The sequence below is a fragment of the Homo sapiens genome, chromosome 19 (assembly GCF_000001405.40).
Source record: "Homo sapiens chromosome 19, GRCh38.p14 Primary Assembly".
Classification (NCBI taxonomy): Eukaryota; Metazoa; Chordata; class Mammalia; order Primates; family Hominidae; genus Homo; species Homo sapiens.
Genome location: NC_000019.10, coordinates 42,220,140 through 42,242,877, shown reverse-complemented (window position 1 = coordinate 42,242,877; position 22,738 = coordinate 42,220,140). Strand labels below are relative to the sequence as shown.

The following is a 22,738-nucleotide window of genomic DNA, read 5'->3' as shown; positions in this document are numbered from 1 at the left end:
GAGTGGACTCCGTTTCCCAGCGTGCATCAGGCTCTCTGCTTCCTAAAGTGCTTCAGGGCTCCCCGTCGTACAGTCGGCTGACAGATTACCCTGGACTCCATTTCCCGACGTACAGCGTGACCCGTCATTCCCGCCCATCATTCCCGCGGTCTACTCTGAGGCTTTTGTGGACTTCATTTCCCGGCGTGCCACGCGGCTCTCTGTGCGGGCCGAGGGCGGTGACGGCGGCGCGGACGACAGCCGGACTGCATCTCCCGGCGTGCCCCGCGGCGGGCGCTGGGCCGGAGCCGGAGCCCAAGCCAGAGCGGCGCGGCCTGGAAGAGGCCAGGGCCCGGGGGAGGCGGCGGCAGCGGCGGCGGCTGGGGCAGCCCGGGCAGCCCGAGCCCCGCAGCCTGGGCCTGTGCTCGGCGCCATGAGCGGCGGCGGGCCTTCGGGAGGCGGCCCTGGGGGCTCGGGCAGGGCGCGGACTAGCTCGTTCGCGGAGCCCGGCGGCGGAGGCGGAGGAGGCGGCGGCGGCCCCGGAGGCTCGGCCTCCGGCCCAGGCGGCACCGGCGGCGGAAAGGCATCTGTCGGGGCCATGGGTGGGGGCGTCGGGGCCTCGAGCTCCGGGGGTGGACCCGGCGGCAGCGGCGGAGGAGGCAGCGGAGGCCCCGGCGCAGGCACTAGCTTCCCGCCGCCCGGGGTGAAGCTGGGCCGTGAGTACTAGTGGCGCCCGTGTAGGGTGGTGATTAGGGTTCCCAAAGCTCCTCAGACATCCATCAGATTCTTTCATGTGCTTAGATAGGAGCTCGAGGTCACTGTGCCTCCCCATACCGGGGATCCGAGCCCTCTTCCTCCCAGGAAAAGGAGTCTTGGGGTTACCATCTCTTGGAGATCAGAATTACTCGTGGATCAGAATTACTAACACTTAAAGAAACGGGTTACAAGTCTCTGTTCTTCCATTATTGAGGTCTTGGGTCCTTGAGCCTTAAGAACAGGTATCTGATGTTGCTATTCATTATAATATTGGATCAGAGGTCACAGTCGCTTGCAAATGGGGATCTAGGGTTATTGTCTCCTAAGAGAACAAGAATAAGACCAACCCCGAAAAAGAGGGATCTGCATTCCCTGTCCTTCAGAAGATGGGGATTTGGAGCGAATATCACTTAGAAGCAGGGCTTTGAGGTTACTGTGTTTTGTCCCCAAAGAATAGGGCCAGGCTTTCCAAACCTGGTACTCAGATCATCTTCCCTATTAAAACCAAGACCTGGCATCATTACCCACCCTAAATCTTGTTGAGCTGTACTGCCAATGGTGAGAATTAATAGTTACTGCCTTTTAGATATAAAGACATTGGGAGTCAGCATATCCTTCAAACCAAGTCCATAGTCCATGTTTTAAAATACATGGCTTGGTGTGTCTCCTTTAACAAAAATGGAATGGAGCAGGGTAGGTCACAGTTTCCTACAGAATATGGATCTAAGGTTATACTTTTTTAATAATTGTTCTAAGGTATGGTGTCATTGGCTCTGAAAAAAAAAAGTGATGTAGGGTTATCTCCCTCTGAAAGAACTTGTCACTGGCCCCTCAAAATGGATTTGGTGGCCGGGCGCGGTGGCTCACGCCTGTAATCCCAGCACTTTGGGAGGCTGAGGTGGGCGGATCACCTGCGGTCAGGAGTTCGAGACCAGCCTGGCCAACTGGTGGAACCCTGTCTCTACTAAAAATATAAAAAATTAGCTGGGCGTGGTGGCGGGCGCCTGTAATCCCAGCTTCTCGGGAGGCTGAGGCAGGAGAATCGCTTGAACCCAGCAGGCGGAGGTTGCAGTGAGTCGAGATCGTGCCACTGCACTCCAGCTGGGCAACGAGAGCGAAACTGTGTCTCAAAAAAAAAAACAAAAAAATGGATTTGGTTCATCAGTTACTCAAAGGGGTCACTATCCTCTAAGAATGGCACCAAGGTTTGCCACCATTTGAATAATGGGAATTGGGAATTATAGCTTTCCTTCAAAGGACTGAGGCTGGAATAGCTCCTTGATAATAAAGGTCAGGTTCATCATTATCATAATTTGGTGCTTGTCCATTAGGGACCACCCACATATAGTGAGGGGTCTGGGTCTCTGGACCACTCAGATGAAGAGGTCAGGTCAGTGTTTTTTTCTAACCTCAAAGTACCAAAAAGTGAGGGTCAGGGCACTGGCACTTATAGCAGGAGAGGACATTCATTTCTGTCACCAAGAACCAGTAAAGTTACCAGCTCTACAGGGGAGGACTTAGAGGTCAGTATCCTCTAGGCTGTGAGAGAGGTTAGTGCTTTCCTAAAGTAGGAGTACCTCAGGGTTACTGCTCCCTGAAGTGGAAGAGGCTCGGTCAAGCTTTCTCCAAATAGGAGGGGCCAGAGGGCAGTAGATCCAGAGTAGATGGAGTCAACATCTGATGTCTCCCAGTACCAAGATGGACCAGTGATCTGTTGCTTCCTAGAAGTAGAAATTTGGGGTTGCCAACCCTTGAAGCAGAGAGATTTAGGTATCAATATCCTCCTATGTGGAGGGGAGCAGGACTTAAGATTCCCAGAAAGGAAGAGGGGAAAAGTCACTGGGAAGGTCCCAGCATCCACCTTTCCTCAAAGAGGAGGAGGGGACAAAGAGGTCCCCAACGAGCTTCCTGCAGAGATTTCCCTTCCTCCCACAGCCCCAGGATAGGGTGATGCGCAGGCAGGATGGGTCAGTGGATCGTGTATCCCCTTTGTTCCCCAGGTGACAGCGGGAAGGTGACCACAGTCGTAGCCACTCTAGGCCAAGGCCCAGAGCGCTCCCAAGAAGTGGCTTACACGGACATCAAAGTGATTGGCAATGGCTCATTTGGGGTCGTGTACCAGGCACGGCTGGCAGAGACCAGGGAACTAGTCGCCATCAAGAAGGTTCTCCAGGACAAGAGGTTCAAGGTAGCTTGGGCGGGATGGGGACAGGGAGGTTTGGGGACTGGGTGTGACTGGTGGGAGAACCTGAGCCAGAGAGCTGGAGGCTTGGGTTTCAGAGCCATGGGCCAGAAGAGAAGGGGGAAAAGAGGAAATGAGACCTGTGAAAGATGGGAAATGTGGATCCCAGGAGAGCCCAGAGCTTTTACTGGGCATTTGCTCAATGTAAGTGCTTAATAAGCAAATTCTTGTTTAATTTACATAAAGATTCTCTGAGGGTAGGTACTGTGGTTATACCCATTCTAAGTGTAAGCTAAGTTTAAAAGCAGGGAAACAAACTCAGGTAAGAGGATTGCCTGAGGTCATAGAGCAAGTGCCCCAGTCAAGGCTGGAATCTGATTCCCAAACCCTCTACCTTAACCATTTGGTTACACTTCTTCCCAGGAGAGAAAGGGACCTGGCAGGGCTAGCGCGGGTGGTTCTGAAGGTCGCGCTCTTCCCAGGTGTTTGGCCAGCGCAGAATGGAATGGAGGTGCCCTGTGAGCTAGGAGAGGCTCAGGGAACTAGAAGGAGATGGAGGAAGTGGAAGTTGAGGAATAATTGGTGTTTAAGGGCCTGGCATTTGGAGCTTAGACTAGTCTGGATGTAGGAGAACTGAGCCTAGACTGGAAAGGAACCAGACCAGGGCCTCGGTCTTGGCAGGGAGGGCCCTTGGGCAGGAGGAGCTCCAGGGTGTCAGAATTTGATTGGAGTTGAGTTCCAGAAGTAAGAGGGATGTAGGGGCAGGGAGTTCCTAGGCCTCACTGAGGAATAGAGAATGGGGAAGAATGCTGAGACCGCATTCTGGGAAAAGTCCAATGCCTGGAGTCTGGGACTCAGGATCCTAGATAGAGTTCGAGGACCCAGATGCTTCCACGGGACCAGAGTGAGCTGGATGGCCACTACCTGTCTGTTGTTGCTTGTGCCAGGTAGGGGGGCAAGCCTCATGTGCCCATGCCTGATTTTTTTTTTTTGAGATGGAGTCTTACTCTGTCACCCAGGCTGGAGTGCAGTGGCACGATCTTGGCCCGCTACAACCTCTGCCTCCCAGGTTCAAGCGATTCTTGTGCCTCAACCACCTGAGTAGCTGGGATTGCAGGCATGGGCCACTATGCCTGGCTAATTTTTTTTTTTTGTATTTTTAGTAGAGACAGGGTTTTGCCATGTTGGCCAGGCTGGTCTCGAACTCCTGACCTCAAGTAATCCGCCCCCACCTCGACCTCCCAAAGTGCTGGTATTACAGGCATGAGCCAGCATACCTAGCCCTGATTTTTCAAGACAAACTGAAAACTGGATTTAGATGTGAAATCTTTTTTTTTTTTTTTTTTTTTTTTTTGAGACGGAGTCTCATGCTGTCACCCAGGCTGGAGTGTGGTGGCGTGATCTCGGGTCACTGCAACCTCCGCCTGCCGGGTTCAAGCGATTCTTCTGCCTCAGCCTCCCTAGTAGCTGGGACTACAGGCGTGTGCCACCACTCTCGGCTAATTTTTTGTATTTCTAGTAGGGACGGGGTTTCACCGAGTTAGCCAGGATGGTCTCTATTTTTTTTTTTTTTTTTTTAAGACAGAATCTCGTTCTGTCACTAAGGCTGGAGTGCAGTGGTGTGATGTCGGCTCACTGCAACCTCTGCCTCCTGGGTTCAAGCGCTGCAACCTCTGCCTCCTGGGTTCAAGCAATTCTTGTACCTCATCCACCTGAGTAGTTGGAATCACAGGCGTGCGCCACCATGCCCAGCTAATTTTTTTGTATTTTTAGTAGAGATGGGGTTTTGCCACGTTGGCCAGGCTGGTCTCGAACTCCTGGCCTCAAGTGATTTCCCTGCCTTGGCCTCCCAAAGTGCTGGGATTACAGGGGTGAGCCACCATGCCCAGCTGTTTTTTATTTTATTTTTATTTTAAGGCTGGGTATGGTAGCTCATGCCTGTAATCCTTGAACTTGGAGAGCCCGAGGCAGGAGGATTGCCTGAGACTAGGAGTTCAAAACCAACCTGGCCAACATAGCCAGGTTCTTTTAAAAATAATAATAATAATAAATTTTATCTTATTTATTTATTTATTATTATTATTTTTTGAGACAGAGTCTGTCGCCCAGGCTGGAGTGCAGTGGCGCGATCTCAGCTCACTGCAAGCTCCGCCTCCTGGGTTCACGCCATTCTCCTGCCTCAGCCTCCCGAGTAGCTGGGACTACAGGTGCCTGCCACCATGCTTGGCTAATTTTTTTTGTATTTTTAGTAGAGACAGGGTTTCACCGTGTTAACCAGGATGGTCTCAATCTCCTGACTTCGTGATCCACCCACCTCAGCCTCCCAAAGTGCTGGGATTACAGGCGTGAGCCACCACGCCTGGCCCTGGCCTATCCTTTTTAAAACTTTATTTTGGAGAAAAAAATCAGAAGGTGCCATTTGGCTTTTACATGTCAGCAATAAGTTGAAAAAAAATTTTTTTTTAAGTGGGGTGGCTGGGCGCGGTGCCTCACGCCTGTAATCCCAGCACTTTGGGAGGCTGAGGCCTGTGGATCATGAGGTCAGGGAGGCTGAGGCAGGTGGATCACAAGGTCAGGAGATCGAGACCATCCTGGCTAACGTGGTGAAACCCCATCTCTACTAAAAATACAAAAATTAGCTGGGCGTGGTGGTGCATGCCTGTAATCCCAGCTACTTGGAAGGCTGAGGCAGGAGAATTGCTTGACCCAGGGAGGCAGAGGTTGCAGTGAGCCGATATTGAGCCACTGCATGCCAGCCTGGCAACAGAGCAAGACTCTGTCTCAAAAAAAAAAAAAAATGGGGTGAAGAAAACACATCTGTGGCCTGGGTTTAACCTGTGGGCTTCCAGCTCCTGTGGGAGGGGAATAGTCTGGAGACAAGGAATTGGGGGATACTCCAGGGGACCTTGGAGCTGGGACACAGGGAGTAGCTGCCTGGCTGTTGTTGGGAGTGAGTGTGAGTAGGGAGGAGCAGCCGAGAGAGTTGGTTGTATTCTGAGACTCTCCCTTTGCCCTCAAGAACCGAGAGCTGCAGATCATGCGTAAGCTGGACCACTGCAATATTGTGAGGCTGAGATACTTTTTCTACTCCAGTGGCGAGAAGGTGAGATCTCGAGGTGGTGGTGGTGGGTTGCTCCAGCCATTTTCCTGCCTGCCTGCCTTTCCCCCACTGCTCCCTGCATACCTTCCTTCCCCCTCCTCACTCTTCTCACAGTGCCTCACACCTCTCCTTTGCTCCCTGCAGAAAGACGAGCTTTACCTAAATCTGGTGCTGGAATATGTGCCCGAGACAGTGTACCGGGTGGCCCGCCACTTCACCAAGGCCAAGTTGACCATCCCTATCCTCTATGTCAAGGTAGGCCAGCAGGTGGGCTGCTGGGACCCAGGCCCACAAAGCCAGGGGCTCTGGAGCCTCCTGCCTTTTATGGGATCCCTCATCCGCCAAGTTTATGTTGGTTTTTGGAGGCCCCATGTCCCCTGCTGTTGTTCCCATAACCCCCCGAGATGGAGCTCGCCTAACACAGGGGAGGGCCAAGGCAGGCAAGGCCTGACTGAATCAGGAAGGCAGCCTGACACCTGGGGTTGCAGAAGCTGCCAGGTAGTTGCTCAGGTCCATACAGGGAGTCCAGTGGCACCAGAGATGTTGGAGTTAGCTCAGGATAAGGGGGTGGTGGGGACCAGGACTGCACAGAGACAGCTGCTGAGGCCAGAGTTCGGGCCTTTAGAGCCTTGGCTGGGGGTAGGTGGGAAGGAGTTAGGGCTGGAGGAAGGTTAGCATCCACAGAGCCAGGAATGCATCTCCGTCCATCATCTGTGCAGGCTCATTCCCCAGTGCCTGGCATCGTGCCCTGGGTGTTACAGACCTTCAGGAGGTGTTTGAATGAATGAATGAATGATTGCAGCCCAGGGATGATGTGGCGAACAGGCTGGAGCAGCCTACTGCATTGGAAGGAGGTGGGTGGGTTTGTTTGCTGAAGGTCACTTGGGGCCCAGCTGCTGCTCCTGCTGGCTTTACGTACCAAGCACGGGTGAGCCGACGTGGGCTCTACCAGTGGTTGTGGCTGTTGGACCTCACTTCCCAGGAGGGGAGCTCTCTGGTTTGGCGAATCTGTCCTGTGGCTGCCTGCATACGGGTCCCAGGGCTGAGGAATTCCAGAGGCACCACTGACTGCGACCCAGGCCTTGGCCTTGAAGAGCTCTCAGTTTGGTAGGGTAGAAAGGCGTCATCACAGAAAACTATTAAATGAACTAGCTGCTGCCATACCAGAAGGAGCACAGGGAATTCTGGAAATGGAGGAAGCACCCAGCCTGGTTTGTGGGTGAGAAGGATCAAGGAAGGCTTCCTGGAGGAGACCAAGCACAGGGCAAGGAAGTGGCATCTTTGGCCGAGGGGAACTGGAATAAAAGGAAGGGGGCCTAGGAAGCAGCCATGTCAGGACCTGGTCTGTCTAGGCCCTGGGGGATGCAGCAGTAACTGAAACTCAAAATCCTGCTCTCACGGTACTTCTGTTCTAGTCAGTGGGAGGGAGAGTGGCAGGAAAATGGAGCTGGAGAGGGGGCAGGCTCAGGGGTGGTTTTGATTGTCGGATTAAGGAGCCAGTGGTTTTGGTGAGGGGGAAGCTGAGTGCCTGGCTCCCTAGCCTGTTTTATGACAACCTCCCGATGTACCTTACTCATCAGGCTTCTGCCAAGGGTTGTGATTAAAGCAGTGGTTCTCAGAGTGTGGTCCGGGGACCAGCATCAGTGCTGGAGAGCTTGTTGCAAATGCCTCATTCAGAACTCACTGATCAGAAACTCTAAGAGTGGGGCCCAGCAGTCCCTTTTTTTTTGTTTTTTTTGAGACAGGGTCTCTGTCACCCACGCTGGAGTGCAGTGGTGCGATCTCGGCTCACTGCAACCTCCGCCTCCTGAGTTCAAGTGATTCTTCTGCCTCAGCCTCCCGAGTAGCTGGGATTACAGGTGTGCACCACCACGCCCGGCTAATTTTTGTATTTTTAGTAGAGACGGGATCTCAACATGTTGGCGAGGCTGGTCTTGGCCTCCCAAAATACCGGGATTACAGGCGTGACCCGCCACGCCCAGCCAGTAGTCCCTGTTTTAACAAGTCCTTCAAGTGATTGTGGTGCACATTAAGAGAACCAAGGTTTCAAATGGGTTTCCCCAAAGCTGTGGGGGCAGCAGGGAGAGTGGGCCTGGAAGGGCTCTTCAGGCCAAGCTGGTGGGGTAGTGGTGCTGTATGGGGAAAGCTGGGCTAAAGTTCTGCTATCCTGTGCCCGCCGCAGGTGTACATGTACCAGCTCTTCCGCAGCTTGGCCTACATCCACTCCCAGGGCGTGTGTCACCGCGACATCAAGCCCCAGAACCTGCTGGTGGACCCTGACACTGCTGTCCTCAAGCTCTGCGATTTTGGCAGGTGGGCCTGGGGCATGTTGGGTGGCTGAAGAGGCAGGGGGGACCCCAACCCTTGCCTCACGTGTACCCCTGCCCATCTCTTCCCACAGTGCAAAGCAGTTGGTCCGAGGGGAGCCCAATGTCTCCTACATCTGTTCTCGCTACTACCGGGCCCCAGAGCTCATCTTTGGAGCCACTGATTACACCTCATCCATCGGTCAGAGTTATGGGAGGGTGGCGGGGGGAGTGGCAATCTGGGAAGTTTTGGAGTTTTCTGTGTGCTGTATGCCAAGCTTGGTGATGAAAGCTTAACTTCTGTTCTTGTATCCAGTCCTCACAAACTTAGGAGGCTGATGCTGTTGAATGCTAATTTTACAGATGAGCTTAGAGCTGTGAGGCCGCCTGCCCGCACTGGCACCACTAGGACTGGGCAGGACTGGGATTTGAAAGCTGACCTGACTCCAGAGTCCATACCAGCTCTGGAACCTCCCTGTCAGCCCTCTGTTCTCAGCTAGGGGGAAGGGCTGCTGGAGACCTTGGGGGAACCGGGAAGCAAGGCTTTGCCACCATGAAGGTGCAACTTGCTCCCAGGGCCTCTGTGTCCTTCCCTGTTTGTGGGGACAACTGCCATTTTCCAGGCATGAGGGGAAGTCTGAATTGAGGGAATGGGCATGAGAGTTTGAAAGGGCACCTTCCACAGCAGCATGACGAACTGTGGAGTCCTTAGGTATGAACTCGTGCTGTGGGGGTCAAGGTACAAAGCAGGGAGGGGTGAGACTGCCACGCTGCAGCTCTTCTCATGGGCAGGAGAGAGGCTGGAACAAGAGGAAGGCAGTCCAGGATTTAAGGCTGTACCTTCCTGTGGCCCAAAGAACATGGGTGCCTGTTGGCAGGTTTGGGCCTAATTTGGTCTGTCGTCCAAGGCTAGCGGGAGAGAAGGAGCTCATTGGGGTCCTTAGCAGAGAGAGGAACTGAGGGCTGGAAACACACCTAGACTAGAGAGTACAGCAAAGGCAGGGTCAAGGTCGGGCCCATGTTTCTAAGCTGCATGTGACCTTGGGCCAGGTGCTTTGTCTTTGAGAAAACGGGGCTCCTGACACTCTTAGGATGGCCATGAGGAATAAAAGCATTGGGAGGTTGGTGGCCCTACTCGCCTAGCCCTGACGCTCCCTCCATTTCCCCTCAGATGTTTGGTCAGCTGGCTGTGTACTGGCAGAGCTCCTCTTGGGCCAGCCCATCTTCCCTGGGGACAGTGGGGTGGACCAGCTGGTGGAGATCATCAAGGTGAGGGGCGGGGCTGGGCTGGGCAGGGGGTGGGGCTGAGGGATGGGGCCCTTGTCTCAGACCCCTCCCTCTCTTTACAGGTGCTGGGAACACCAACCCGGGAACAAATCCGAGAGATGAACCCCAACTACACGGAGTTCAAGTTCCCTCAGATTAAAGCTCACCCCTGGACAAAGGTGGGGCAGGGCTAGGGGCTCAGGGCAGTATGGCTGAGAGCTGGTCCCCCTTGGAGGTCAACTGTTCTGTGGACCTAGCCTCAGAATCACGGCTTGGGAGGATTTGAAGAGTTATCCAGGGATCAATAACATCCATCCGCTTTCAAAGTTTATGGCATTTTAAAAGTTGAGAACCCACAAGTAAATTCAAGATTCCAATTTTTATGGAGGGTCAGCAGGGCTCATATAGTCCCAGACCTGGGCTGCCTGCTTACCCGATACAAACTGACCTCTCCTTAGTGGTTGGGCCTTAGTTTCTTCATTTGGAAGGTGGGGGTGTGGGAAGCAACCAGTCATAACTTGCCGCAGGCACTGTGGCAGTGAGATAACAGGAGTATGCCAGTGTCCAGGGCATCTCACCCTCATGAGCCCTGCACCCATCCCTCAGGTGTTCAAATCTCGAACGCCGCCAGAGGCCATCGCGCTCTGCTCTAGCCTGCTGGAGTACACCCCATCCTCAAGGCTCTCCCCACTAGAGGCCTGTGCGCACAGCTTCTTTGATGAACTGCGATGTCTGGGAACCCAGCTGCCTAACAACCGCCCACTTCCCCCTCTCTTCAACTTCAGTGCTGGTGGTGAGGGCATAGCCTGGGATCTGGGGAGTGGGGCGGGGTAGGGGGGCAGCCAAAGATTGTGAGGAGCTTGGTGTTGAAGCAGGAGTGGGGAGCTAAGGGCAGGGTACAAGGCAGGCCTGGGGCTCAGGAAAGATGACTCCCAGATTCAGGGGGAATCGAACCTGCTTCAGTTGTGCTTTACTGTGATCTGCCTTGTGCTAAGCTTTTTCTGGTTTTTCATTGAGAGAGGTCTGTGGCTGAAGGTGTCCACAAACAACTGGCCTTCCCAATAGCTGGGTTCCCATTTGGTGCCCATCATAACCCTGCTGTAGTCTACCCTGACTAGCATGTCAATTCCTGTTTCTAGAACTCTCCATCCAACCGTCTCTCAACGCCATTCTCATCCCTCCTCACTTGAGGTCCCCAGCGGGCACTACCACCCTCACCCCGTCCTCACAAGGTAAGTGGGGACCATCTGCTGGGGGTTAAAGTATCTCTCAGCCTGGAGAGGGTGGGGCTGTTCGCTCAGTGACTGGGTTTCCTGAATGTATTTTTAAATCATCGACATTTTGATGGCATAGGAAACACATCTTACAACATGTGAATGACCACCTTTAGAGGGTATTCTTGCGTACAAATGTTTAAATGTGTTTAATGCCAATGGGAAAGCCAGAGAAATAACGTCTGGCCTGAACACAAACAAAAAGTTGAATTCGTTGCCCAAGTTTGTTTTTTTTTTTTTTGTGCAATAGAGTTTCACTCGCCACCCAGGCTGCAGTGCAGTGGCTCGATCTCGGCTCACTGCAATCTCCGCCTCCTGGGCTCAGGCAATTCTCCTGCCTCAGCCTCCGAGTAGCTGGGATTACAGACACACACCACTACGCCTGGCTAATTTTTGTATTTTTACTAGAGATGAGGTTTCACCATGTTGGCCAGACTGGTCTTGAACTTCAGGTGATTTTCCCGCTTGGCCTCCTAAAGTGTTGGGATTACAGGCGTGAACCGCTGTGCCTGGCCATGGTGTCCACGTTTAAAAATGGGGCTATTTTATGTAAAAATTCAGATTTCCTGTTTCTCTTGGGGAAGAAAATCAGATTGGGCAGCAATGGGCCCGCCCATCCTACTGACAGTAGACAGTGGGCGCCCTTTATATTTTTTAGACGGAGTCTTTTTCTGTCACCCAGGCTGGAGTGCAGTGGCACAATCCCGGCTCACTCCAACTTCTGCCTCCTGGGTTCAAGTGATTCTCCTGCCTCAGCCTCCTAAGTACCTGGGATTACACGCTCATACCACCATGCCTGGCTTATTTTTGTATTTTGAGTAGACATGGAGTTTCACCATGTTGGCCAGGCTGGTCTCGAACTGCTGACCTTGTGATCTGCCCACCTCAGCCTCCCAAAGTGCTGGGATTACAGGCGTGAGCCACTGTGCCCAGCCCAGCCACCGCCTTATATGGAGCCTGGCACTCTGGTGTGTCACTCAGTTACTATCGTGGCCCTTTAGCACTTGAGTTTGCAACCCTTCACCTAAAGTAACAGCTTGTAACTTTTAATGTAGCATCTATGACAAGAGAATTCCTACTTTTGGGTTGGGCGAAGGGGTGTCTGAAAGGCAAAGGCTAACTCTGCTCCTTCCCTGCCTCCCTCCAGCTTTAACTGAGACTCCGACCAGCTCAGACTGGCAGTCGACCGATGCCACACCTACCCTCACTAACTCCTCCTGAGGGCCCCACCAAGCACCCTTCCACTTCCATCTGGGAGCCCCAAGAGGGGCTGGGAAGGGGGGCCATAGCCCATCAAGCTCCTGCCCTGGCTGGGCCCCTAGACTAGAGGGCAGAGGTAAATGAGTCCCTGTCCCCACCTCCAGTCCCTCCCTCACCAGCCTCACCCCTGTGGTGGGCTTTTTAAGAGGATTTTAACTGGTTGTGGGGAGGGAAGAGAAGGACAGGGTGTTGGGGGGATGAGGACCTCCTACCCCCTTGGCCCCCTCCCCTCCCCCAGACCTCCACCTCCTCCAGACCCCCTCCCCTCCTGTGTCCCTTGTAAATAGAACCAGCCCAGCCCGTCTCCTCTTCCCTTCCCTGGCCCCCGGGTGTAAATAGATTGTTATAATTTTTTTCTTAAAGAAAACGTCGATTCGCACCGTCCAACCTGGCCCCGCCCCTCCTACAGCTGTAACTCCCCTCCTGTCCTCTGCCCCCAAGGTCTACTCCCTCCTCACCCCACCCTGGAGGGCCAGGGGAGTGGAGAGAGCTCCTGATGTCTTAGTTTCCACAGTAAGGTTTGCCTGTGTACAGACCTCCGTTCAATAAATTATTGGCATGAAAACCTGCTTTCTGTCCGGCTGCCTGTTTCCGCTGAGGTGGTGGGGGCTTCCGGTGGGGGGACTGTTCTGGGACGGGAGTGAGCTGCATCTCAGGCAGAGGGCTGTCCGAAGGCCCTGGCTCAGGTGCCCAACCTTCTCACACCGTGGCTTTCTCTGCACGTGTGGTGATGAGCTCCATCTGGGTTATCTGCTGTAGAGGCCTAGGAGGAGCCTGCTCCATGACCCAGCATAAATCATCTGCTTCTGCTTAGGGAGGGAGGGATTAACCTCCCAGTAACTGGTGAGCCAACTGGGGATCAGAGAGGGGAAGGCCATGGAGCTTAAGTGACAGAAGAGTCAGGACTTGAACAATGGGCCGTCTGTCTTAGCCCAAGCTGCCTGCTGCTCTAGGGTCTGGGGGGACATGAGATGATGAGGAGTCACTCAGGCCAAAACTTAGCCTGCTTGTAGACTCTTTGTTGGGTGGCCATGGCTGGAGATGGAACCCTAGAAGATTCCAAGCCTTCATTTCCAAGTCTTAAACAGGACACCTACCTGGTCCACCTCTTAGGGATGTTGGGAAGTGACAACCCTGTGAAGGTGGGGACAGAGAACTTGACTTTTATCCTCACTTAAAACATGCTGGGGCCAGATAGTGGGGCATGGGCGGAAGGAAATGTTATCTCCTCCACATGGCACCGAGCAGTGAGTGTGGCCAGGACACCCCAGAGGTGGAAGGGGGCCTGGGGAGGAGCAATGGGTATGCCCCCTACTGGATTCCACCGGTGAACAAAAAGGGAGGAGTTTCAAATGTCCCAGATGGAGTGAAGGGACTGTTCCTGTGGGGTCTGGGCTCTCCAGTTTGCTCAACCCACTCCAGGGGCATCTTTACACTGCCTGGGATAGGACAGACCCTGCCCCTTCCTTGCTCAACACCACCCAGATTTCGCCTGGTTTGTAGTATCAATGAATGAACATACAGAGCAAGCTGATGGATAAGGGGGAGGATGGCTGTTCTGGGCGAGGGGCAGACCTTGGGATCCTGGGGACGCCTTCCTCCCTGCTACTCACACGTGGTCAGCCGTGAAGTCAGTGAGGTGTCCCTCACCCTTCTACCACCCCATGACCCCTTCCCAGGTCCAGCCCTGTCTTCTGCTGGACCATCTTTAGCTTCCCACTCACCCCACTTTGAGCCCAGATCTAACACCAGTTACGACCCTCCCCCAACCTGGAACTACTCAGCCAGCTTTCAAGGCCTTCCAAAGTCTAGGCCTCCCTCCTGGACAATTCCATCCCCAACTGCATTCTGCCTGCCCTGCCTGAGCACCCTGGGCTGCAGGGGCCTGGGAGGAGCCTATCAGGAATCACCTGCATGTGCTTAGGGAGATAAAGACTATTATGGCCAGGCTCAGTGGCACACACGTGTAATCCTAGCACTTAGGGAGGCCAAGGCGGGCAGATCACCTGAGGTCAGGAGATTGAGACCAGCCTGGTCAACGTGGCAAAACCCTGTCTCTACTAAAATACAAAAATTAGCTGGGTGCAGTGGTGGGGGCCTGTAATCCCAGCTATTAGGGAGACTGAGGCAGGAGAATCGCTTGAGCCTGGAAGGTGGAGGTTGCAGTGAGCTGAGACTGCACCACTGTGCTCCAGCCTGGGCAACAGAGCAAGACTCCATCTCAATCAATCAATCAATCAATGGAGAGAAAGACTATTATCCTAGGTAACCTCTGAAAAAGGTGGGAATCTTCCTGCTCTCAAGACCTTTGATGTTTCGAAGCCCCTTCAAATCCCAATAGCTCTGACACTGGTTTACTTTTCCTCTAGTTAGAATGAATCTTCCTCTGATCCCCTACCCCTGCACAAGTTTCAGGTCTTAATCACTCAGAATAGTATGGGTTACAAATGTGGGCCGCAGGGGCCTCCCGTACTCAAATCTCACATCTCTGCCTAGCTGTGAAACCTTGGGCAAATCTCTGTCCTTAGTTTTTTTTTCCTTTTTTTTTTTTTTAAGTGACAGGGTCTTGCACTGTTGCCCAGACTGGAGTGCAGTGGTGTGAACACAGCTCACTGCAGCCTCAATCTCCCTCATATCAAGCAATCCTGCCTCCGCCTCAGCCTCCAGAGTAGCTGGGAATACTGGTGTGCACCACCATGCTCGGCCAATCATTTTTATTTTTAATAGAGACAAAGTCTCTCTCTCTTGCCCAGGTCTTGAATTCTTGAGCTCGAGTGATCCTCCTGCCTCAGCCTCCCAAAGCACTCGGATTACAGGCATGTGCCACCAGGCCTGGCTAACTTTTAAGTTTTGTAGAGATGAGGTCTTGCTGTTGCCCAGGCTGGTCTCGAACTCCTGGCCTTAAGTGATCCTCCTGCCTCAGTCTCCCAAAGCACTGGGATTGCAAGCGTGAGCCACCGCACCTGGCCAGTTTATTTTTATTTTTATTTTCTTTTGAGAGGGAGTCTCACTCTGTCGCCCAGGCTGGAGTGCAGTGGCGCGATCTCGGCTCACTGCAAGCTCCGCCTCCCGGGTTCACGCCATTCTCCTGCCTCAGCCTCCTGAGTAGCTGGCCACCACAGGCGCCCGCCACCACTCCTGGCTAATTTTTTGTATTTTTAGTAGAGACGGGGTTTCACCGTGTTAGCCAGGATGGTCTCGATCTCCTGACCTCGTGATCTGCCCGCCTCGGCCTCCCAAAGTGCTGGGATTACAGGCGTGAGCCACCACGCCCAGCCACCAGTTTTAAAAATCTATACAACAGGGATAATATGAAATCTATGTCACAAGCCTGTTGGGATCATAGTACACATACAGTGGTAAGTGTGGTGCTTGCCTCAGGTAGGCAGTCAGATGAATAACTGGATGGTCTCCAAATACACCAAGAGCTCACCCTCTTGCAGTGCTGTCTGCCTGGAATGTTCTTTTCCTCTTTCACTGCCAGATTCCTACTTTTCCTTCAGGGACTACCTTCTCTAGGAAGTCCTTAACTCCTGATCTCCCACCATGGAGGTCTGTTTCCTGGGATCCCACTGTCCCTGCACATCCCCATCACAGCCCAGAGAAGCCTTAGGCCTGACTCATCTCTGCCCCCAGCATCACCCAGTATGGGAGAAGGGAGGCTTTAGGACACACAGGCTGAATGAATCAATGAGACACACTCAGAGAGCAAGCTATCTGTACTTGTGCGTTTCTCCTACCAGATTGTGCATGCCTCCTGTGGGCAGAGCCTGTGCTGACTTGCTCCTGGGTCTCCAGCATCACCCAGTCTGGAGCTGAGGACCTGGGTACCTACAGATTTCCTTCCACACTGTCAGAATTGAGATGAAGGAAGCCCAGAGAAATCAAGTACCCTCCACCAGGCAGAGCAAAGTCCTGGGTGCCCAAAATCCAGGGAAGGCAAGGGCTGGGGGTACAAGCAGAGGATCTGAAGAGGTATATGAGAGTGGCCAGCACAGACCTGGCATAAGCTTGGTGCTCAGTGAAGGTTACCTGATGTTGCTGGGCACCAGGGTGATGCAGTGCAAAGGGCCTTGGCCAACCCACTTTGCAGCATAGCTGGGTGACCTGGTACAGATCACATCGCATTTCAGAGCTTCAGTTTCCCCTCAGGCAGAGAAAGATGACAAGAGAAGCCTGGAAGGGTTGTTCTGGGGAGTCAGTGGGTAAAAAGAGGCCAGGGTGGATCCTGGCACATGGTGGGTACCAGACCAGTTTGTCAGAGGAGGTCCTCTCTCCCCAGAGGTACCCACACTGGCTGTTGCAACCAAACCCTTTTGTTGTTGCTTTTCAGCTGCGTCACACGAAGGCCGTGTCCAACTGCAAGAGCCCGCCTGCTTCACTGGCCCCCAGTGCAGCCTGGCACAGCTGCAGGGTGTCCTCAAGCGCCAGTGGCTGGGATGTCTCAATGATGGCGATGGTCTCCCCCAGCTCTGTGCACATGATAGTCTGTTGAGGCTCTGGAGGTGGGGGTGGGGCAGGAGATGGTGATCTGGGAGGCTGTAGCGTCAAAGTCCGAGCTCGGGCATGGACCCGCTGATGCAGTCGCAAGCCCGCCATGGCGCGGAACCAGCGGCCACAAGTCCCGCAGTAGTAGGGACTCTTGTTGTAGAGACCAGTGATGGGGAGGCGGGGGGCGCGGGCAAAGGCGACTGGCCGCAAGTGCAACCGCCGGTGCTGCTGCAGGTTGGAGCTCTGTGTGAAGCGCTTGCCACAGTCCAGGCATTGGTAGGGACGTGCACCCGTATGGGTCAGCTGGTGGCGGCTGAGGTTGGCCAAAGAAGCAAAGGTCTTGCCACATGAGTGGCACTGGAAGGGCCTCTCACCCGTGTGTGTCCGCAGGTGGTTGCGCACGTGGATCAGCTTCTTGAAGCCCTTGCCACAAACCCCACAGCGGTGACGCCGTTCAGGGGGCCCGTGTACTGCACGCCGGTGCCGGGACAGCCGGGAAGCTGAGGCAAAGGACTTGGAGCACTGTGGGCAGGGCAGCTGGGCAGGTGGGGCAGGGGGTGGTGGTGGAGGGGTGGGCTCCGCTGGAGCTGGGGGAGCTGTTGCTCCTGTGGGAGGTGCCCCGCTTTTGCCGGCGTGAGTGCGCCGGTGGTAGAGGAACTTGGTCATGTTGCTGAACGTCTTGCCGCAACGACAGCGATGCAATGGGTTGGCAGTGTGGGCCCGCCGGTGAGCCACCAACGTGAGTTCTGTGCCAAAGCCGCGGCCACAGTCTACACAGAGGTAGCGGGCTTCCCCGCGATGCAGCCGCAAGTGCTGCTCAAGCGATGCTGCTTTCTTGAAGACCTTGGAGCAGGTTGTACACTCATGTGTGCCACCAACATGGGCCCGCCCATGAGCCTGCAGCCGGTTGGCGGAGCTGAAACTGCGCTGACACTGGCTGCAGTGGAAGGGGTGGGTGGCAGATGCCGGGCTGTGAGCCGTCCGCCGGTGTTGCCGGCGAGCCCCTGCTGAGGGCTGGTGCTGGGGACAGTCCCCGCAGCCCTGAGCCCAGCCAGCTGTGGACTCGTCACCTCCCACAGCATCATCACCGACCTCTGCCATGGCCTCCTCATCCTCCATCTCTTCATCATCTTCTTCATCCTCCTCATCGTCCTCTTCCTCCTCCTCCAACCCATTGCGCTCCTCTTTCTCTAGGGAGTCAAAGTGGGTGCCCTGATGCTCCAAGAACTCCTCAGGGGTGGCGCAGAGGGTAGAGCACTCAGGACACTCATAGGGCTCCATCTTGACTTCGGATGGGGGAGAAGGTGGAGGCAGTGGTGTTGGGGGAGGCAAAGGAGGTGGCACTGGTGGCTCAGCTACCGTAGCAGAAAGGTGCTGGGCCTTTCGATGAGCCACCCACAGCTCGGGCGAGGGGAACAGCTCCTGGCAGTCCCAGCACTGGTATTGGATCTGGTTTGCAGACTCTCGGAGGTGGGCATCCTGGTGGGCCAGGAGCTCCCCAGGGGAGAGGATGAGCTGGCTGCATTCACCACACTGGAAGGGCCCCTCAGCACCCGGCACCAGCTCCGGCTCCAGGCCAACATTCTGTGTGGTCAGTGCCTCCTCCTCTGAGACAGCAAGCATGTGCTGCTCCTGGTGTGAGAGGACTTCCTCCAGTGTGTTATAGAGGCTGCCACACTCAGAGCACATGAACTGGTGATGCTGGAAGAAGAGGGATGAGGCAAGGGCCTCCCCAGGTGTCATCTCAGTCACTTCTGTTGACATCTCCATCATCTCTGCCGACATAGGTGTTGACATCTCCACTGCCCCTGGTGACATCTGTGTTGGCATCTCGGCCACCTCAGCCACCACCTCTGCCATTGTGGGGAAGGCAGTGCCTGGAGAAAGAGGGGCAGGAGCCAGTGAGACAGCAGGAAACCAAGGGGAGGTGGAATTCTCTTGCACATCCCACTACTCACCAGCTATCGCTCAGGAAGTCTTAATCCACTGTTTCTGCTTCAGTCTTCCGTGATCCCATGTCTCTGAAGCCTACACACACCCCACGGCAGCCTGCAGGAGAGAAACACCACTCAGCCCAGCCTCTTTTTTTTTTTTTTTTTTCTTCTGAGACAGAGACTTGGTCTGTCACCCAAGCTGGAGTGCAGTGGCACAATCTTGGCTCACTGCAACCTCTCGCTCCTGGGTTCAAGCTATTCTCGTGCCTCAGCCTCCTGAGTGGCCGGGACTACAGGGGTGTGCCACCATGCCTGGCTAATTTTTGTATATATATATATATATATATATATATATTTTAGTAGAGACAAGGTTTCACCATGTTGGCCAGGCTGGTCTTGAACTCCTGACCTCAGGTGATCCACCCGCCTTGGCCTCCCAAAGTGCTGGGATTACAGATGTGAGCCACCACCCCGGCCAACAGCCCGGCCTCTTTTTTTTTTTTTTTTTTTTTTTGAGATGGACTCTTGCTCTGTTGCCAGGCTAGAGTACAGTGGCGCAATCTCGGCTCACTACAACCTCCACCTCCTAGGTTCAAGTGATTCTCCTGTCTCAGCCTCCCGAGTAGCTGGGACTACAAGTGTGCGCCACCATGCCCAGCTAATTTTTGTATTTTTTTGTTGTTATTGTTGAGATGGAGGCTCGCTCTGTCGCCCAGGCTGGAGTGCAGTGGTGCAATCTCTGCTCACTGCAAGCTCTGCCTCCCAGGTTCAGGCCATTCTCCTGGCTCAGCCTCCCGAGTAGCTGGGACTACAGGCGCCTGCAACCACGCCCGGCTAATTTTTTGTATTTTTAGTAGAGACAGGGTTTCACCGTGTTAGCCAGGACAATCTCAATCTCCTGACCTCGTGATCTGCCCGCCTGGGCGTCCCAAAGTGCTGGGATTACAGGCATGAGCCACCACGCCCGGCCAATTTTTGTATTTTTAGTAGAGATGGGGTTTCACCATGTTGGCCAAGATGGTCTCGATCTCTTGCCCTCGTGATCCGCCTGCCTCGGCCTCCCAAAGTGCTGGGATTACAGGTGTGAGCCACCACACCCGGCCCAGCCAGCCTGGCCTCTTTACCGAGAGGGCCAGGCACACCTTTTCTGAGAATACCATAGCCTTTGCCTGCGTGCAGCTTTCTCTTTGTGCAATGCTTTTCCTCTGCCTCTTACATATACACACACAGATACACCCAAGTGTTTAAAAACACAGGCCCTGGAACCAGACTGCCCTTGGCTTGAATCTGAGCTCTACCACTTACTTCCTCTGAGGTTGTCTTCTTACCTGTAAAATGGGGCTAAAAGTAGTACTGACACAAAGTCCCTGGTACTTGTAAAGGTCAGCTGTAACCCTGTGTAGTTCTCCAGAAAGATTGTTTTTAGACCCTAAGTCTTTGATGTTGCTATTCCCTTTGCCAAGAAACTTCTCTCCTCTTTTTGTCTGACAAACTCCTACCCAGCACCTTTTGTGAAGCCTTCTCTGACATCTCTACATCCTCAGGGTTCCTATGGTATCCTGTGCCACCTCTATCATGGCAAATATCATGAGTTTGGGGTGGCATCTCACTGTTCCTCACTGGACTGAGAGTTTGTGGGTCTGATTCATTGTGGAGGCTCCAGTCAGCAACAAAACCTCTGAGCAGGGACAGGAATTTTAACTTTCAAACTTCCCTCTATATGCCCCATCTTCCCTTCTACGTATGTGGGCTCAACCCCACCCAGGCCCCTTCACACAGCAGGGACTCAGAGTACACTCAACAAATGACTGCCTCCCTCCCAGGCCTAGCAGCTAATTTTATGAATTCAAACCCACCTTCTTTACCTCTTTTTCACCTAATCTATTAGTGCCAGAGGGCAGGTGGAGTCTGGTTTACAGCCTTGCATATAGAAGTTGCTCATATTGCCGGGCGCAGTGGCTCACGCCTGTAATCCCAGCACTCTAGGGGCCAAGGCAGGCGATCACAAGGTCAAGAGATCGAGACCATGCTGGCCAACATGATGAAACCCCGTCTCTACTAAAAAAAATACAAAAATTAGCTGGGCGTGGTGGTGCACGCCTGTAATCCCAGCTACTTGGGAGGCTGAGGCAGGAGAATGGCTTGAAACCGGGAGGCGGAGGTTGCAGTGAGCTGAGATTGCGCCACTGCACTCCAGCCTGGAGACAGAGTGAGACTCTGTCTCAAGGAGGAAAAAAAAAAAAAAAAGTTGCTCATATTAAGCACCTAGACGGTAGCAGTTTAGCCTGCACATCACTGAAGCACGTCCAGTGCCAAGAACAATGTCTAGCACACAGTACATATTTAGTGACTGAGAAATGCTCCCAGGCCAGGTGTGGTGGCTCACATCTGCAATCCTAGCACTTTGGGAGGCTAAGGTGGTTTGATCACTTGAGCCCAGGAGGTGGAGGCTGCAGTGAGCCTCCCTTGGGAAGTGAGACCTTGAGAGGTTTTTTTTTTTTTTTCCTCCTTTTGAGACAGGGTCTCACTCTGTTGCCCAGGCTGCAGTGCAGTGGTGCGATCTTGGCTCACTGAGGCCTCCACCTCCTGGACTCAGGTGATCCTCCTGCCTCAGCCTCTTGAGTAGCTGGGACCACAGGTATCTGCCATCATGCCTGGCAAATTTTTATTTTTATTTATTTTATTTTACTTTTTTTGAGACAGAGTTTCTCTCTTTTTGCCCAGGCTGGAGTGCAGTGGCACGATCTCGGCTCACTGCAACCTCCGCCTCTTGGGTCCAAGCGATTCTCCCGCCTCGGTCACCTGAGTAGCTGGAACTACAGGCATTCACCACCACGCCTGGATAATTTTTGTATTTTTAGTAGAGATGGGGTTTCATCATGTTGCCCAGGCTGGTCTTCAACTCCTGACCTCAAGAAATCCACCCACCATGGTCTCCCAAAGTGCTGGGATTACAGGTGTGAGCCACCACACCTAGCCCCTGGCTAATTTTTAAATTATTTGTAGAGAGGTCTCCCTATGTTGCCCAGGCTGGTCTCGAACTACTGAGCTCAAGCAATCCTCCCACCCAGGCCTCCCAAAGCGCTGGAATTAGAGGTGTAAGCCACTGCCTGGCCGACCCTGAGTTTAACTGTCCCTATGCACAGTCCATTTCTACCAGACCAACTTCCCCATTAGACTGTGAATTCCCAAAACACACAGCCCAGTACAGGGCCCTGCTTTCAGTTAATGCCCAATACATACTCCTTGAGTAAATTATTCACTAAAGGAGCTGGAGCTAAACTTTCCTTATCTACTATTCCAATCCCCTTCCTAATTTTTGAGTTGCCAGGCCCCTGCACACAACAGCCATTCCACAAAGGACCTTCCTGGAAGTAGGCAACCAGGGGCCCGAGAGTTCCATTTTTCCTTGATTACAGCCCCATTTCCAACAGAGAACTCCCCTAGGGCGAGGCCCAGTGCCTGCTGCAAAGCTTGCACAAAGCAGGTACCCAATAAATGTCTACGAGGTGGCCCGGGAGACTTGAAATTTGCCCTTTCCTCGTCTACGATTCTTTCTCCCACTCTTGAATTGTGAACTACTTAGGGAAAGAATGGGGGTTTTTCACACAGTATATCAGTAAGTCTTTCCAGGAAGGAACCCACTAGGGCCCTGGAAATTCAACTTTCCCGCTTTACAACGCTTGTCTCCTACCAGACTGAGCTCCTCGGCAGGGTGAGAGCTCGCAGCAGTGGGTGGTGGGCGAGTTCCAGCGTAGGCTCCCGCACACTAAAGGAGCCCCAGGGCACACAGGAAGGAGTGCTCTCCTTCCAGCCCGCGCCGCTCCCGCCCTAGCGCAGGCCCCAAGGCTCTTCGATCCCTGCAGACCCCTTAGTTTTCCTTCCGCCCCCTCCGTCCGCCCAGCGTTCTCTTCCCAGTCCAGCCCCGCGCGGCGCCCTCACCCGTTTCTCTTATCTCCTGCAGCCCCTGCCGCTCTTGACACAGACCCTCGGCTCCAGGCGTGTGGGACCCCTCACTATCCACACCTCCCATTGGGCGGTGCCCTTACCCGTGGCGACCAATCAGAGCCTGCAGCGCAGGGCACGCGACCTTGCGCCTGCGTGTTGCCACACAGGCGGGGCTCTGGGAGTTATCCACGCACACATCTTCGCCCTGTGGGCGGGGCTCAGGGCGAGGAGATGCGCCTGCG

General features: G+C 53.9%; 2 protein-coding genes across 4 annotated transcripts, besides 3 other annotated features; one reads left to right on the top strand and one right to left on the bottom strand.

The window, feature by feature from the left end:
* Nucleotides 215–424: a silencer, noted in NCBI's record as "silent region_10693". NCBI's record gives its function as "represses an Ori minimal core promoter by ATAC-STARR-seq in GM12878 lymphoblastoid cells {active_cell/tissue: GM12878}" and the evidence as "EXISTENCE:reporter gene assay evidence [ECO:0000049][PMID:35858748]".
* On the top strand, nucleotides 276–12,688 carry GSK3A (glycogen synthase kinase 3 alpha). 2 transcript variants are annotated; one of them, XR_001753673.2, is made up of 12 exons: nucleotides 276–695; nucleotides 2,736–2,923; nucleotides 5,937–6,020; nucleotides 6,162–6,272; nucleotides 8,200–8,330; nucleotides 8,419–8,525; nucleotides 9,495–9,592; nucleotides 9,673–9,768; nucleotides 10,196–10,382; nucleotides 10,729–10,821; nucleotides 12,011–12,199; nucleotides 12,487–12,688. XR_001753673.2 is itself a non-coding variant. In NM_019884.3 (11 exons), exons 1-11 carry the CDS (start codon nucleotides 413–415, stop codon nucleotides 12,082–12,084), a joined length of 1,452 nt encoding a protein of 483 aa, NP_063937.2. In that variant the 5' UTR covers nucleotides 276–412; the 3' UTR covers nucleotides 12,085–12,688. The 2 variants fall into 2 exon arrangements, 1 of the variants encoding a protein (NP_063937.2); NM_019884.3 differs by having other exon boundaries at nucleotides 12,011–12,688.
* Nucleotides 455–734: a silencer, noted in NCBI's record as "silent region_10692". NCBI's record gives its function as "represses an Ori minimal core promoter by ATAC-STARR-seq in GM12878 lymphoblastoid cells {active_cell/tissue: GM12878}" and the evidence as "EXISTENCE:reporter gene assay evidence [ECO:0000049][PMID:35858748]".
* ZNF526 (zinc finger protein 526) lies at nucleotides 14,677–22,566 on the bottom strand. 2 transcript variants are annotated; one of them, NM_001314033.3, is made up of 3 exons: nucleotides 22,243–22,566; nucleotides 18,573–18,663; nucleotides 14,677–18,491 (listed from the first exon to the last, which is right to left on the bottom strand). In NM_001314033.3, exon 3 carries the CDS (start codon nucleotides 18,472–18,474, stop codon nucleotides 16,462–16,464), a length of 2,013 nt encoding a protein of 670 aa, NP_001300962.1. In that variant the 5' UTR covers nucleotides 18,475–18,491; nucleotides 18,573–18,663; nucleotides 22,243–22,566; the 3' UTR covers nucleotides 14,677–16,461. The 2 variants fall into 2 exon arrangements, with proteins under 2 accessions (NP_001300962.1, NP_597701.1); NM_133444.3 differs by having other exon boundaries at nucleotides 22,491–22,566.
* Nucleotides 22,568–22,717: a silencer, noted in NCBI's record as "silent region_10691". NCBI's record gives its function as "represses an Ori minimal core promoter by ATAC-STARR-seq in GM12878 lymphoblastoid cells {active_cell/tissue: GM12878}" and the evidence as "EXISTENCE:reporter gene assay evidence [ECO:0000049][PMID:35858748]".